At 38.9% G+C, this 16497-nt stretch overlaps 1 long non-coding RNA gene across 1 annotated transcript in view; it reads right to left on the bottom strand.

Annotated features, from left to right (window-relative positions):
- LOC105372211 (uncharacterized) overlaps nt 1–16497 on the bottom strand; it is a 46771-nt gene that overhangs the window by 16706 nt on the left and 13568 nt on the right. The window contains exon 3 of the long non-coding RNA XR_935655.2: nt 15892–16143. This is a non-coding gene — a long non-coding RNA (uncharacterized LOC105372211). The remainder of the gene's footprint in view (nt 1–15891; nt 16144–16497) is intronic.

Below are 16497 nucleotides of genomic sequence, written 5' to 3' on the forward strand. Positions count from 1 at the left end.
GGTGATGTTTTCTGGATGGTCTTGATGCCTGTGGATGTTCATCAGTGTCTAGGCATTAAGGAGTAAGGTATTTATTGTCATCCTTGCAGTCTGTTTTGAGCTGCCTGGAGCTGGGGGAGGGATGACACAAGCACCCCTATGGCAACCACCACTGGGACTGTACTGAGTCAGCTCTACAGCCAGCACAGCGCTGGGTCTCACTTACGGCCTGCAATAATCCAGGCTCCACTCTGACCCAGGGCAGGTCCAGAAATGCTATCCAAGAGCCACAGCCTGGAATTAGGGTCCCCAGGAGCCCACTTTTTGCTTTACCCCCCCATGGCTGAGCTGCTGCATAAGCTGCAAGGTACTCTTCCCTCTGTTTTTCTCAAGCAGAAGCAGTCACTCCTCATAGCAGCCACAGCTGGGAATATTCTGGATCACACCTGAAGCCAGCACGTTTCAGTCTCACCCAAGGCTCACAGCATATACTACCTGGTTACCACAGCTGATTATTTATTGCTAAAGGGCTCTTTAGTCCGCAGGTGATGAATCCTGCCAGGTGTGGGTCCTTCCCTTCAAGGCAGTGGGTTCTCTTCTGGCCCAGGATATGTCTAGAACTGTCATCTGGGAACTAGGACCTGGAATGAGGGTCTCACAACTCTGCCTGGTGCCCTATCCTACTGTGTCTGAGCTGGTATCCAAGTTGCAAAAGAAAGTCTTCTTTTCTCTTCCCTCTCCTCAAGTGGAGGGAAGGAGTCTCTCCAGGAACTGCAAGCTGCACTGCCTGGGGTTGGGAGGAGGTGATGCAAGCACTCTTGTTGATGCCCCATCTGGTGTCTCACTAGGTCGTGTGCCCTACACGTCTATTGGCTTTGAGCCCAGCACAGCACTGGGTGATGCCTAGGAGTTGCAGTCTTTCCAAGTTTATTGAGCACCCAGAGCACTTTAGCTCATGGTGGCAAGGCTTGCTGAAACTCAAGTTCTGATCACATGGATGAGCAATTCCACTCTGGCTAGAGCTGATCTAAATGCTCGCTCTGTGGACATTGGCTGAGTTCTGCCGGGTGTTGGCAGCACTGAGTTCCAGTGCAAACTCCTGCAATTGCCACGTTCTCCCTTCCCCAAACACATAGATTCTCTTTCCACCCCACACAGCCGCCGCCAGAGAGGGGGGAGGGGTGGCATCAAGACTGTTTCAGTGACTCTTTCACTGATATGAAGTTAAAATCAGGTACTGTGTCTGCTCACCTGATTTTTGGTTCTTATGAAGGTGGTTTTTGTGTAGATCATTGTTAAATTTGGAATTCCTGTGGGGAGAACACCACAGGAACACAATTGGTGGAGACTTCTGTTGGGCCATCTTGCCCCACCCCTCTCTAGCCATAGCTATATTAACATCAGAAAAATAGGCCTGGAGGCAAGAAGTATTACCAGACAAAAAATTTCAAAATAATAAAAAGATCAATCACCATAAAAATGCATGCCCCTAATGAAAGCTTTGAAATACCTGAAACAAAAATTTGCAGAACTAAATGGAGAAATAGACATATGTAGGATCATAGTTGGAGATACTAATTCCACTCCATTAGTATTTATTGGACAACTAGATCACATTCTTTACTAACCACTGAGCAACTGTAGACTGCACACTGTTTTCAACTGCACATGGAAGGTTCATCAAAATAGATCATACTCTGGGCCATAAGACAAGTCTTAATATATTTAATGGAATCAAAATAATAACAACACACATTCTCAGACCACAATGTTGCTAAATTAAAAATCAAAGTATCTAAAATGCCCTGATTTTTGGATAGCAAGTGTGATGGTTAATTTTATATATCAATTTGTCTGGGTCACAATGCCCAGATATCTGGTCACATAGAAGTCTGGATGTTTCTGTGAGGGTATCCTTGTATAGTTTGTACATTTAAATTGGTGGATGTGGAATAAAGCAGACTGTCCTCCATAGATGGCTGGACCTCATCCAGTTAGTCCAAGGCCTCGATAGAACAAAAGGTTGACCTCCCCCCAAGCAAGGGGGAGTTCTCCAGCCAACTGCCTTCATACTTCATCGCAACATTGGCTCCTCCTGGTTCTACAGGCCTTTGGACTCAAAATGCAACTCTTTCCTGAGTCTCTACCTACCAGCCTCCCCTATGCGACTTTGGACTTGCCTCACCTCTACAATCATGTGAGCCAATTCCATAAAATAAATCTCTACACACACACACACACACACACACATCCTATTGATTCTGTTTCTCTGGAGAATTCTGACTAATATAGTAAGAAATGTACTCCAATACACTTCTAAATAATCAATAGGACTAAAAATAAATATAAAGGGAAATTTTAAATTATTTTAAACTGAATGATCATAAAAACACAACACATTGTTAAAAGGAAAACTTCAGACAAATTAAATTCAACAAAGTTTAACTGAGCAAAGAACAACTGGAATATCCTGCAGCCCCCTGAACCAGAATAGGTTCAGAATGACTCCAGGGATGCCACCTGGTCAGTTAACATTTGTAGACAGAAAAAGGAAAGTGACTCCAGGGATGCCACCTGGTCAGTTAACATTTATAGACAGAAAAAGGAAAGTGACACACAGAAAACAAAAATGGGATGCAGGAACAGCAGGACTGGTTGCAGTTGGGTGCCCAACTTCTCTGAACCTGGGTGGAACAATAGGCTGCCTGTGGTTGGCTGACATTCACTTCTGTGACTGGCTGGCAGGGCACCCGCCTTCTCTAAACCTGGGTGGAACAGTTGGCTGCCTGTGGTTGGCTGAAGTTCACTTCTGTGATTGGCTGGCACTCAGCTCCTTGTTACAAGAGCAGGTTGCAGTCTGTTTACTCATCAAATTGGGTTACAGCCCACTATGCGTAGAGAAACTCTTATGCTGAACCTCAAATATATACAGAGGAAACATTAAGCCAAACATAATTTAACAATATCAAAAACTATTGGATGAGTTTAAAGCAGTGCTTAGAGGGAAATGTATAGATTTAAGTGCTTCGGTGTGGCGATTCCTCAGGGATCTAGAACTAGAAATACCATTTGACCCAGCCATCCCATTACTGGGTATATACCCAAAGGACTATAAATCATGCTGCTATAAAGACACATGCACACGTATGTTTATTGCGGCACTATTCACAATAGCAAAGACTTGGAACCAACCCAAATGTCCAACAACAATAGACTGGATTAGGAAAATGTGGCACATATACACCATGGAATACTATGCAGCCATAAAAAATGATGAGTTCATGTCCTTTGTAGGGACATGGATGAAGCTGGAAACGATCATTCTCAGCAAACTATCGCAAGGACAAAAAACCAAACACTGCATGTTCTCACTCATAGATGGGAATTGAACAATGAGAACACATGGTCACAGGAAGGGGAACATCACACACCAGAGACTGTTGTGTGGTGGGGGGAGGGGGGAGGGATAGCATTAGGAGATATACCTAATGCTAAATGACGAGTTAATGGGTGTAGCACACCAACATGGCACATGTATACATATGTAACAAACCTGCACATTGTGCACAGGTACCCTAAAACTTAAAGTATAATAATAATAAAATTAAAAAATAATAATAATAATAAATAAAAATAAAAATAAAAAAGAAGAAAGGCTTAAAATAAATGACCTAAGTTTTCACATCAAGGAGCTATAAAAAGAAGAGCATATCAATAATAAAGTAAATAGAAGGAAGGAAATAATAAATATAAAAAAGGAAATTAATGACATTTAAAATCAAGAAATTTAATCAAGCCAAGCATTCGTTCTTTGAAAAGATTAATAAAATTGATCAAGAAAAATGATGGAGAATACAAATTACTAATATAAAAATAATAGAAATGGTATCACTGCAAATCCTACACAACTGAAAGCATAATGAGGAAATATTTTAAAACTTCATGCTCAAAGCCTCTGGAATGTCCATCACCAAGAGTGAAGCCTGATGTGAACTATGGACTTCCAGTGATAATGATGTGTCAATGTATCAATGTAGGTTCATCACCTGTAACAAATGTTACAAATTATAACCAATGATAGTGGGAGAAATCTATGAGTGGGGATGAGCAAGGAATGTATGGGAATTCTCTCTCTACATCCCATTCAATTTGGCTATGAACCTAATACTGCTCTAAAATATAAAGTATATTTTTTTAAGTCTCAAGACTTAAAAAAATTTTTTTGCCAATAAATTCAATAACCTAGATGAAGTGAACAAAATCCTTGACTAGCCATGTATGTATTATAGAAATTTAATTCATTATCAGAAACTACCCATGAAGAAAATTTCAAGCTCAGATCATTTTATAAATGAATCTATCAAACATTTGAGAAAAAAAATTATACCAGTTTTACATAAGCCCTTTCATAAATACAAGAGGAAGAATTATTTTCCAATGCATTTTATGAGGCCAAGCAAATTATATCAAAACTTTACAAAGACATTATTTTAAAATTATAGATCAATATCTCTATGAACATAGACACAAAATTAACAAAATATGAGCAAATTAAATCCAGAAATACATAAAAGTATAGATAAGTAGCATTCATAAATTTGAATACTCAATATTGCTAAGATATCAAGTTCCACAAATTGATATATAGATTCAGTTCATTCCTAGTCATAATCTTAGCATGCTTTTTCACAGAAATTAACAAACTGATCCTAAAATGAACATAGGAATTCTAAGGACCTAGAATAGTCATAAAAATCTTGAAAAAAAGAAGAACAATGTTGGAAGTCTCGCACTGTCTGACCTCAAATATTATTATAAAGCTACAGTAATCAAGAAAATGTGGTATTGACATAAAAAAGAAAGAAAGGTTATTTAAAATAAAGATTGGAGAAATAAACCCATACTTATATGATCAAACAATTTTGGAAAAAGACATCAGTTGAACTAAAGGGGGAAAAGGGAAGTTTTTTTTAACAAACCATTCTTCAAAAATTGAATATACATATGAAAAACTAAAGATCTTTGACCCCTACCTTATACTATACACAAAAAGAAATTTGAGAAGTAGCACATCTAACCATAAAAGATAATACTACAAAGGTTCTACATAAAAACAGAGGAAAATATGTTCAAGATTTGGAAAAAGGAAAAGAATTCTTACAGACGACATTAGAAATTGGTAACTATATAGGAGAATTGAGATAAATTAGCCTTCAGTAATATCAAAAACTTCTGCTCATCAAAGTTACCATTAACAAATGAATAGGTCACAATAGCTAAGACATGGAATCAACCTAAATGCCCATCAATGGTAGACTGAATAAAGAAAATGTGGTACATATACACCGTGGAACACTGTGCAGCCATAAAAACGAACGAGATCATGTCCTTTGCAGGAACACAGATGGAGCTGGAGGCCATCATCCTTAGCAAACTAACACAGAAACATAAAACCAAATACCACGTTTCTCACTTACAAGTGGGAGCTAAATGATAAGAACTCATGAATACAAAGAGAGGAACCATAGACACTAGGACCTGCTTGAGGGTAGAGGGTGGGAGGAGGGAGGGGATCAGAAAAAGTAACTATTGGTTACTAGGCTTAGTATCTGGGTGATGAAATAATCTGTACAACAAACCCCTGACACAAGTTTACACTTGTGTCAAACCTGCACATGTACCCATGAACCTAAAATAAAAGTTAAAAAAAAGAAATGAATAGGCAAGCCACAGACTGGAAGAAAAGGTTTTAAAAACAAATATCTGATGATGTATTTGTCTCCAGAACACACAAATGTCTTGTACAACTGAATAGTAAAAAACAAACAACTCAAGAAAAATGAGCAAAATACTTGAATAAATAAGCCACAAAAGAATATACATGAATGGATAATAAAAAGGTGAAAATTGTTCAAAATCATTAGTGACTACGGAAATACAAATTAAAACTAAAATGTGATACCACTAAACACTCACTATTATGAGTAGCATGAAAAAGTCTGTCAGCACTAAATGTTGGTGAGAATGTGGGAAAATGGGAACTCTCATATATTGTTAGTGAGAGTGTAAAATGGTACTAACACTTTGGAAAGCAGTCTGATAATCTCTCTTAAAACTAAAGATACAATTACCAAAGTAATTGCACCAACCTTAAATATAGTTTATGGTAGTTTCATTCACGTTAGCTAAAAAGTGGAAAACAACACAAATGTTTATCAAGGGAATGGTTAAACGATTGCGGTATATTTCCATGATGGAATATTATTCAGTAATAACAAGAAATGAACTATAAGCACATATAATAACATGGATGAATCTCACATACATTGTGTTAAGCAAAAGGAACTGGATCAAAATCCCGCATCCCCTGTGATTCTCCCAATAGGAAGCTCTAGATTGAGCAACAGTAATTTTTGGTGAAAAAGAAATCAGAAAAGTGGCTGCTACTCATTCAGAGGATATTGAATGGCAGGGGAAGGATATTGAATGGAAAAAGGTTTTCTAGGATCTAGGTTGTGTTTACGTGAGTGTATGCCTTGGTGAATACTTACGCAATTGTACACTTAATTTGTATTTTACACTCTGTAAATTTTATCTCAAAAAAATAACTACATAAATCATTAAACTCAGTCGATTTTTTTTTCTTACAGTGATATTGTTTAGCAACCGTGAAACTACTTTCTGTGCATGCTGGTGTTGAGCTTATGTGTAAACACACTGAGAAGAGCAGGGGCTGGATTCCTCACTGGTGGGGAAGTGAGCCACAGAGACTTAGACTGGAGTTGGGTGTTCAGTATTAACTCACCATTTTCAGTGCCTAGCTGGCTAGCTAAACAATGACACAGAGGCAAGGGGAGGTGATAAGGAAGACAGACATGTGTGGACATACAAGCTTAGCACTATCAGCTGAGAGGCTAAAAGCAATGACACACCCACAGCTCCTAAATACTTAGGTCTTGGCTTCTAAATCCCCTTCTTCACAAAAGGCACCAGGGTTGCTTGAAGAACAAGTTGATTCCAGGGCTGAGACAGGGAAAGTACATCGAGAATCTGGAACTTCCTGTTGCACCAGAAGGAAAGGGGGTTCTCAAAGAATGACAGGGACATACTAGAGACAGAGCTATGAGCTTGAAGAAGCCCCTTCTCAAATTTGCTCCTCAAAAGATATGATGATAGTAATGAAATGAACCCATTGAATAAAAAGGGAATCCATGAGTCCATACAGAAATAAGTAACAGGAAATCTCTACCTACTATAAAATGCAAACCAATAGATATGGGGTTAGAAAATGGTCAATGGATGCTAAACCTTGTGGGTGGATGGATGTCTGATGAAGAACAAGATGTTTACCCAACTCAGAGGAAATTTACAAAAGAAAAATTAGTGCTTTTACAGTGATTAAAGCAGACGGACCTCACATGAAGTGATCAACATCACCAATATCAGGACAAACCGATATTACATGCCCCCTGATATTTGTTACACCGAGGGGAACACACTATTTCTATGGTATTTCTGCCAGAGAAGTACCAAGAGACAGAGAGTAAAACAGAAATCACGACCAAACAAATAGGAGGAGATGGAAACAATTAATTAATTTAAATAACAGATATCTAGAAGTTGCTTAGAAAATTCCTGCAGTTTTTCAGTAAGTTTGAAAATATGTCAAAATTTTAAAATACCTAAAAAATAAATTATAAATTTTAAGACTAGGTAAAATGTGATTCAATTTTTAACCAACCTTTGAAAGAATTTTGAGTTCAAGTTGTGTAAAATGAGCCTTCCCATCACTATGGATTAGAGCATGTGTTAGTCAAGCCCTTTTGGACAATTTATTAATATACTTCCTAGTTAGACCTTGCAATTCTAGCGATTTACGTTTAAAACATGGATAAAGATTGGTAGGTGTGTAAATTCAAGTGTTCACAGAAACAACAATAAAAATTTTAAAGAATAGAAAAAACTACAGGTACTTTAATGCAGAAATGGAGGCTTTTCCATTCCATGCTTTGCTTGCCTCCTTTAGAAATATCCCGCATTCTATATACACAATAATAAGCAAATTCCTAAGGTCCCAAACATTGAGTAATCTCTTAATTAATACTAAAAGTAGTCTCAGGGGAACTGAATGAAATCTCTTTCAACAGAGTAAAGTGTTACAAGAAAGACAGTGACCAACAAATGCAATGATCCCAGCACAGACTGAATGGCAGTGGCCGGGGGGCCGAAGGCAGGGGAGACAATTTCCTCCAAACCAACGCATTTTCAGACTTCTCCTGGAACAGTCACCCTTGCCCTGATCAAACACTCCTCACCTCTACAAATAAATTCTAATACATTTTTGGCCTAGAAAAATTTTCCTTATTGGGAAACTAGATTTGAAATAGCTTTCTCACCCTTAACAGGTAGTTTTTAAACATCAAAATGAATTATTGAAGATAACATTATTTGCTTATTATATTTAAATGTGAAAATTGCCCTTAAATGAAGTGAATAAGGAAAAAAAAATTGTTCCAAAAAAAAAAGAAAAAGAATAGCTAGTATAAGTCAACCAGCACTTCAAAAAATTTTCCTACAAAATCTGAATCCAAACACAGAAGACTAACATATACTAAATTCCCAACATTTCTTCTAGAAATGACTCCTCACCCATTTTTTAAACTTTATTTTTATATATCATAAAATGTATCCATTTCAAGTGTACAGCACAATAATTTTTACTAACTTTGTGGAGTGGTTACAACCATGAGCATGAATTAGTTTTAGAACATTTTTATCCTTCATGCCCATTGACAGTTAATACCCATTCTTTTCCCAGCCTCATGCAAATTATTAATACACTTTCTGGCTCTATAAATTTGACATTTCTAGACATATCACATAAATGGAATTGATTAATATATGGTCTCTTCTGTTTGGCTTCTTTCTTTTAATGTGTTTTTGAGGTTCATCCATGATAGAGTATGTGTCAATCGTTCATTCCTCTTAGTTAACAGATATTTAGGTTGTTTCCAATTTGGGGCCATTAAAAATAATGCTGCCATGAACATTCATGTGCAAGCTTTTCGTGAACACATATTTTTATTTCCCTTGGGTAGATATGTATAATAGTAGAGAATCATATGGTAGTCTTATGTATAAGTTTCGAGGAACTATCAAACCGTTTTCCAAAATGGCTGCTCCATTTCACATTCTTAAGAGCAGTGTCAGAGAGTTCCCATTTTTGCACATTCGTCAATATTTGTTATTATGTGTCTTATTTATTATAGTCACTCTAGCAGGTGTGAAATGGTATGTGTTAAGGTTTTTAATTTACATTTCTTCTATAACTATAGGATGTTGAGCATATTTTCATATACTTCTTAGTCACTTATACAACTTCTTTGGTGAAATGTCTCTTCATATCTTTGAACATTTTGGGATTAAGTTGTCTTTTTCTTACTGAGTTTTAAGAGGGGTGTGTGTGTGTGTTGTTTTGTTTTTGTAAATTATGCATACAAGTCCTATATCAGATATGTGTTCTATAAATATTTTCTTCAAGTCTGTTTCTTGTCTTTATTTTCTTAATTGTATCTTTTGAAGTGAAAAGATTTTAAATGGTGATGAGGCCTAATTTGTCCATTGCTTTTTTAATAAATCATGCTATTGATGTTGTATCTAATAAATCTTTGCTTGTATCAAAGTCTTGAAGATTTTCCCCTGTATTTGCTTTTCAAAGTTTTCTTGTTTTGGCTCCTACAGTTAAGTCCATAATGCATTTTGAGTTCATGTTTGTGTGTGGTGTCAAGTGAGAGTCTAAGTTTATCTGTTGCACATAGTATCAAATTGTTCCAACACCTTTTCCTCAAATAAATGGGTTGGAACCTTTGTCAAAAATCAATTTACCATAAATATAGGAATTTATTTCTGCATTCTAAATTTTGTTCCATTAATCTATAGGTCTATCTGTATGCCACCACCTTATCATCTGGATAATTGTAGCTTTATAGGAAGTTTTGAAGTTGGGAAGTGAAAGTCTTCCACCTTATTTTTCAAAATTGTTTGGATTTTTCTAGGTATTTTGCATTACCATATATTTAAGATTATGTTATCAATTTATGCAAAAAATTGCTGAAATCTTGAATGAAAAGATTAATTGGGGGAGAACTGTCCATTTTAACAATATTGAATCTCCCAATCCATGAACATGGAATGTCTCTTCATTTATTTATAACTTTTTTAATGTCTCTCAACAGTTTCATATTTTTCAGTACAAACCTTGTACTTCTTTCGTTAAATTTATACTAAATATTTTATTACTTTGGATGCTATTGTGAATTAAATTGTATTCTTAATTCCTCTTTTTTTTTTTTTTTTTTTTTTTTGAGACAGAGTCTCGCTCTGTCACCCAGGCTGGAGTGCAGTGGTGCAATCTCAGCTCACTTCCACCTCCAACTTCTGGGTTCAAGTGATCCTCCCACCTCAGCCTCCCGAGTAGCTAGGATTACAGGCATAAGCCACCACACCAGCTATTTTTTTATTGTATTTTTAGTAGAGACGGGGTTTCACCATATTGGCCAGGCTGGTCTTGAACTCCTGACCTTAAGTGATCCACTCATCTCGGCCTCACAAAGTGCTGGGATTACAGGCGTGAGCAACCGCACCTGGCCTTGATTTCATTTTTGAGTCATTCATTGTTTGTATATAGAATACAATTGATTTTTTATACTGACATTATATCCTGTGACTTTGCTGTATTTATCTATTAGTTCTAATAGGATCATGTCATCTGTGAATAGGACAGTTTTACTTCTTCTTTTCAATCAGCATGTCTTTTTTTTTTTCCTTGCCTGATCGTACTTGTTAGAACATCCAGTGCCATGATGAATAAGAGGTACAAATGGACATCCTTGTCTTGTTTCTGAACTTTGGGAAAAAGCATTCATCTTTGACCATTAAGGAAGATGTTAGCAGTAGGTCTTTGCTATAAGATAATACTAGCCTCATAGAATGCATAAATGCCCTCTATCAGGTTGAGAAAGAATTCTCTTTTATTCCAAGTTTGTTAAAGAGTTTTTATCATGAATAAGTGCTGAATTTTTAATGATTTTTCGGCATTTATCATATATTTTTTTGTTTTTGCTCTTTATTCTATTAATATCTTAACTGACTTTTTGATGTTAGAACAACTTTCAATTCCTGGGACAAACCTCACTTGGTCAGGGCATATAATCTTTTTTATGTGTCATTGGACTTGGTTTCCTAATATTTTAGTGAGGATTTTTGCATTTATATTCATGAAGGATATTGGTTTATAGCTTTCTAGGCCATTCAGAGGTGAAATCTGGGGCCCTTTCCGACCTTTGCTAGGCATGCACATGGCCCTGGACATGCTTATGGCGGTGTAGATTACCAAGAATGTATCAGAGCTTTTCAGCGCCCCCTATGGACAGCTCGTTCCCCAGATCTTCCCTTCAGATTTTTGGCCAAGTTCTTTTTGTGCCAAATGGTATCCAGCAACTATGATGTTAAACAATTACAGCTGATTGTTTTCAACAAATGCCCTGGAAACAGAGCTATTTCTGCAGAGTGAGCTGTGAGTCAGGTCAAATAACAACTACCACCTGTTAAGGGAGTTTTCAGAGAGCGGTAAGGCAGGTCAAATAGTGGAGTTGGGGCTTTTTGAGGCATTGCAACTCCTGTCATGCTTCCTTTGGGAGCTTCGAGGCTGCTAGTTTCGACAGCAACTGTGGTTTCAAAAACACTACAGAACTTGAGAGACTTACGGGAGCAGGCCGTATTGAAACACCACAAACTTTGCTATTTTAACTGAGAAGCAGCTGCTTTTCTTTAAGAAATGCTTCTTAGATTGTTGCAAGCCTGTGGTTAATTTCCAGAGTTCTGAAAAAGTAGATTTTTATAATGTTGCTAGAATTTTTCTTGCTTTTATGGAGGAATGGTGTATTAGCTTCCTGTTGCTGCTGTAGCAAATGACTACAGCTGCAGTGGCTTCACACCACACAGATGCATCGTCTCAGAGCCCTGGAGAGCAAAGTCTGAAATGAGTCTTCAGGGATAAATTCAAGATGTCAGCGGGGTGCCTTCCTTCTGGAGGCTCTAGGGGAGATCTGTTGCTTGCCCTGCCCAGCTTCTAGAGGCTGCCTCCATTCCTCAGCTGGGGCCCCATCCTTCCTCCCAGTCAGCAATCTCATTGCTCCAACTTCTCCTTCCATTGTCATATCTGCTTCTCTGCTTCTCATTCTCTGCCTCCCTCTTCCATATATAAATGAGCCTGTGATTACATTAAGCCCACCTGGTATTCCAGGATAGTCTCCCTACCTCAAGATCCTTAACTCCATCTGCAAAGTCCCTTTTGCCATGTAAGGTAACACATTTAAAGCTTCCATGGATCAGGACATGGACAACTTTGGAGAGCCATTATACTGCCTACCACAAGCAAATTTAAGGAGATCCTTACTCTGCCATTCCAGAAGCCTTTCTCCTTCCTTCCCGATTCTTAACCACATAATTCTACAGTGTTGACCTTCCCTTCTGACTGATGAAAAGAGCATGCGACTCAGGCCTGTGCCAACTACTTGTGTCAGTCAGGTTTTGCTAGGTTATTCCTCATAACAAACAATCCCCAAAAATCTAAGTGGATTACAACAGTGACTTATTTATTGGTCATGTTACATACACATCACCATGGATCCACTGCAGTTCTACTGGTCTCTGCTCAACTCTCTTCTTTATTTCAGTATTACAGCTCAAAAGAATGCCTCACCTGAGACAGGTAAGACATGTCATTTTTCCTCAATCTAAAATAGCTGTTCTCAACCAGAGGTTATGTTGCCACCCAGATCCAAATTTGATTAGAGGCATATGTGTGACTTTTGCAGCTCTGAGAATATAGTTTGCTTCTGATTCTGAAGGATAAATTTGGTAAACCACTAACAACGAAGATAAATTTTCCCTCTAATTGGCTAATTGAGCATTTTGTTCATATGATTGAGAACTTTCTGAATAAGTAGATAAATGTATAGAGGAGAAAGAGGCAAAGAAAAAATACCAATCTGAAATATCTATTGTCTCCAGTTAATCTTTAGTTACAAGAAAATAAACAACACTAATGTCTGAATTAAGGAAGAACAGGGGGGAACATAATAAAACAAATCCAAGCAGAGGATAATAGATTATTTCGACAGAATACTCTAAAATTTCTTGTGCAAAAGAATTTACCAAGCCAATATATTCAATCAATTCATAGAATCTTCAAATAGGAAGATTCATATGCACAGTTCCAAAGTATTTGTACTGATATTGTATTACACTGATTTTGTAGCATATTTACCATAGAAATTAAGTTTTCCTCAAGCTAATGGTAAAACTGACTTACATTATTCCAACATAAAGACCCCAAAAATATATGTTAGATGATAAAACCTCAGGCTGGGATAAACATTGTACTGTGTAGAGTCCATAGAAAGTTTATCCATGTAGATTTGAATTTAATTTTCTTTCTCAAAGCAGAGTCTCAGATTAACATTTTTAAGTCTTTAAGTTTAGAATATTATATATTATGATGATCTACCAATAAATTCTAGTAAATTCAAGAAAGTTAAAAATAAATAAATAAATAAAACACAAGGATTAATTCACTATGGAAGACTGAGGTTAAATCAAAGTGTAAATATTTTCTTAGCATGACTTTGATGAAATGACTCTTCTTCTCTACCCATAGTAACAAGTATCAGTGATCTCACTTGACAGGGACAAGAAGTTTGTTCCTAACCCACCTCAGGGTGCCTGATCTGCTGCCAGCCAGGGTACAGTACCTCATAGGGGATACAGTTCAAGACAGGAAGTACTAAAGTAACACCACAGTCTAATTATCCACTTCTTCCTAAGGACACAGATGGTGAATGATTGAAGCCAATCTGGCTACTGAATTTCTATTCAAATGTCTAAAAGAGAAGTCCTACCATGGAAATATGGAAGCAACAACATGAAGATACCTCCTTTCCTCCTAACACAACCAAAGGAAACACCTTTCCTCTCATTCCTCACCTAGGTGTAAATCCATTTGTTTGAAAAGGGAAAAATAAGGTTTGGCTTGGAGCCTTAAAAGGAGTAAAGTTTAGCTAAGTATTTAAACAGCAGTATCTTGTTCTGTGTAAACTGAGATGATGAGAGAGCCTGCAGTGCCCTTTGCGTTTGTTTCAACAGTTACTTTTTGTCCCACTCTATCAGCTTGTGCTGGGAAATGTTTCAGAAGTCTCAGAATCAAAAACTAAAATTCAAACAAGTGGTGGCGGGGGGGTAAGCATGGTTCATTTTTGCTTACATTTTTGGGAACAGCTGATCTAGTTGCTGAGAAAAATGGGCAAAGAAAACCCACCAAAACATGCTTTGAAAGGTGGGACTTCCACAAGCTATCTCCCAGCCAGGAAAATGCAACCTAGTGTCCAAAGCAAAAAGGGAGTTGGGCTAAACCTAAGGAAAAATGAAGCAAAATAGCAATAAATTCGGGTCAGCCCAAAGGAGATGAAATGTCCTCTTCAGTCTTGTAGTTGTCTCACATTTATTTCCACAGTAATCTCTGTTTCTCAAAAACCCTGTGACTTTGGATGTCTTCTTTCAGGACAGAGTTGGGTGGTGCAGTTCACTGACGAGCTCATGGATGAGGGGCAAGGAACATGCCCTCTGGAATGGGCTGGGAGTTGAGGAAAAGGCCCAGTGGTCAGAGCAAGACATCCAAAGGGCAGGGTTGAAGACCCCAGAAGTCATCACAGGCCACCAGAGAGCCATCATGGTGTCCCAGTAGGTATGGATCCCACAGTGATGGAGACTTGGGCAGCAAGTGATCCTCAGAATGTCCAGTCCAGGTGGCATGTGGCTTCTTCCTGTGCACGCCAGGAGCCCTGGATGCTCCACTCAAGTGTGTCCACTCCCTCACAGCTGGAAAAATCATCTTCCAGAATGTCATTCCTTGCTCCACATAAGACTCGACCCCTCTACATTGCAAAGCCACATGCCCTCTCTTGATCTGATCTCTTCAAACCAATATTGAGTTGGCTGTGAGTTTCAGTTCCTTCCAAGACACCGCCGTGAGCCCAATATTTTACCCCTTGGGAAAGATATGTTCCTGGCTCACACATATCACCTGACATACACACCACCCCACTGATACACTGTACACACACACGTGGCCCAGGCTCTTGGCATACTGGCATAGATCTTCAGGGTGCATTATTCCAAAGGAATGACCTGACCCCAGGAAGTGCTTGGTATCCAGAGAGCATTTCCAGAAACTCTATCAGCAGGAAGCAGGGCACAAGCCCTAAAGTGCAGTACAGGGCAGGACAGTGTAGAGTGACTGGTACTGCAGCAATGACACGTGCTTCCAGTATACTGCATGGGCTAGAAGCTAAGAAAAAAGGCCATCTCCTAGATTTCCACGCAGCTAGCAATGCAGTTGCAATTTAGATTCTGCTCCCCTCCCTCAGGAGACCTGAATTTGAGATGCATTAACCAGTAGAGGCTGCTTACAGCATCTGTTTCACTGGTGCAGGTTTTAGCAGGTCCACGTGGCTCCGGAGCCAGTGGTTTCGAGAGTAGTTCTCCCATCATCAGATGGCAGTTAGGATACTGTGTCCTAGTGAAACAGTTGTGGTGGGGACTTTCTGGTCTGCAGACTGTGAGTGTGGAGATGTGGCCCCAAAGAAAGGATTGGGGCAGCAGCTCCCCAGTGGAAGCCGGGGTACCCTTGCCAAGTTCCACTCTACTGGTCAAGGAGCCGAGCTGTGTCTGCTTCTCCAGCCTTCCAACAATTCTGTGAACATCTAAGCCCCTATGTGGAACCAACAACTGCTTGGCACCTAGGAGGCATTTATTGCTGTCAGCTGAACATAATAAATAATAATAAATACTTACTGGCACAGTAGATGATGACAGAAATGATGCGGGTGACTGCACTCAGGGCTTGTCATTGGGTCTCGGTCATCTGAACACACTGCATTGCTGATGTGGGACGCTGGAGCCTATGGCCCTGTGTGGAATGCAGCCAGGCTGGTATCACCTGCCATCACCTGGGATGTGTCTATCTGGTGAAGGACGGCTGTCGCAGCAACACATCAAGGCCCAGGGAACAAGCACTTTGGAGATGCTTGGCTGCTTCTCCCCACACTGAAGAATTGAAAGAAAAGAAATAAAAGGCTCAGAGCTTTACCTCCTTGGCTCACTCGTGGACACAAAGTGGTTTTACGATGGCTCTAAGTTTTCTCCGCAGGCCCTGCATGCTTCAACACAGGCTCACACTCACAGCACGGCCCAATGGCCTCCACAGAAGTCGAATTGTTGGTTGGGAAAGAGTGGGACCCAGTCATGGGGTTGGCGACATTTGGTAGCACTGGTGTAAGTCCAGTTTCACAGAACACCAGGACATCACGGAGCCTCCCACGCCTGGTGATGCTGATGCCGGCACCTGATATGTGATTGACGGAGATCCTGCCTTGTGCCACCATCGTGGGTACAAATACA

The sequence above is a fragment of the Homo sapiens genome, chromosome 18 (genome assembly GCF_000001405.40).
Source record: "Homo sapiens chromosome 18, GRCh38.p14 Primary Assembly".
In the NCBI taxonomy this organism is placed as follows: Eukaryota; Metazoa; Chordata; class Mammalia; order Primates; family Hominidae; genus Homo; species Homo sapiens.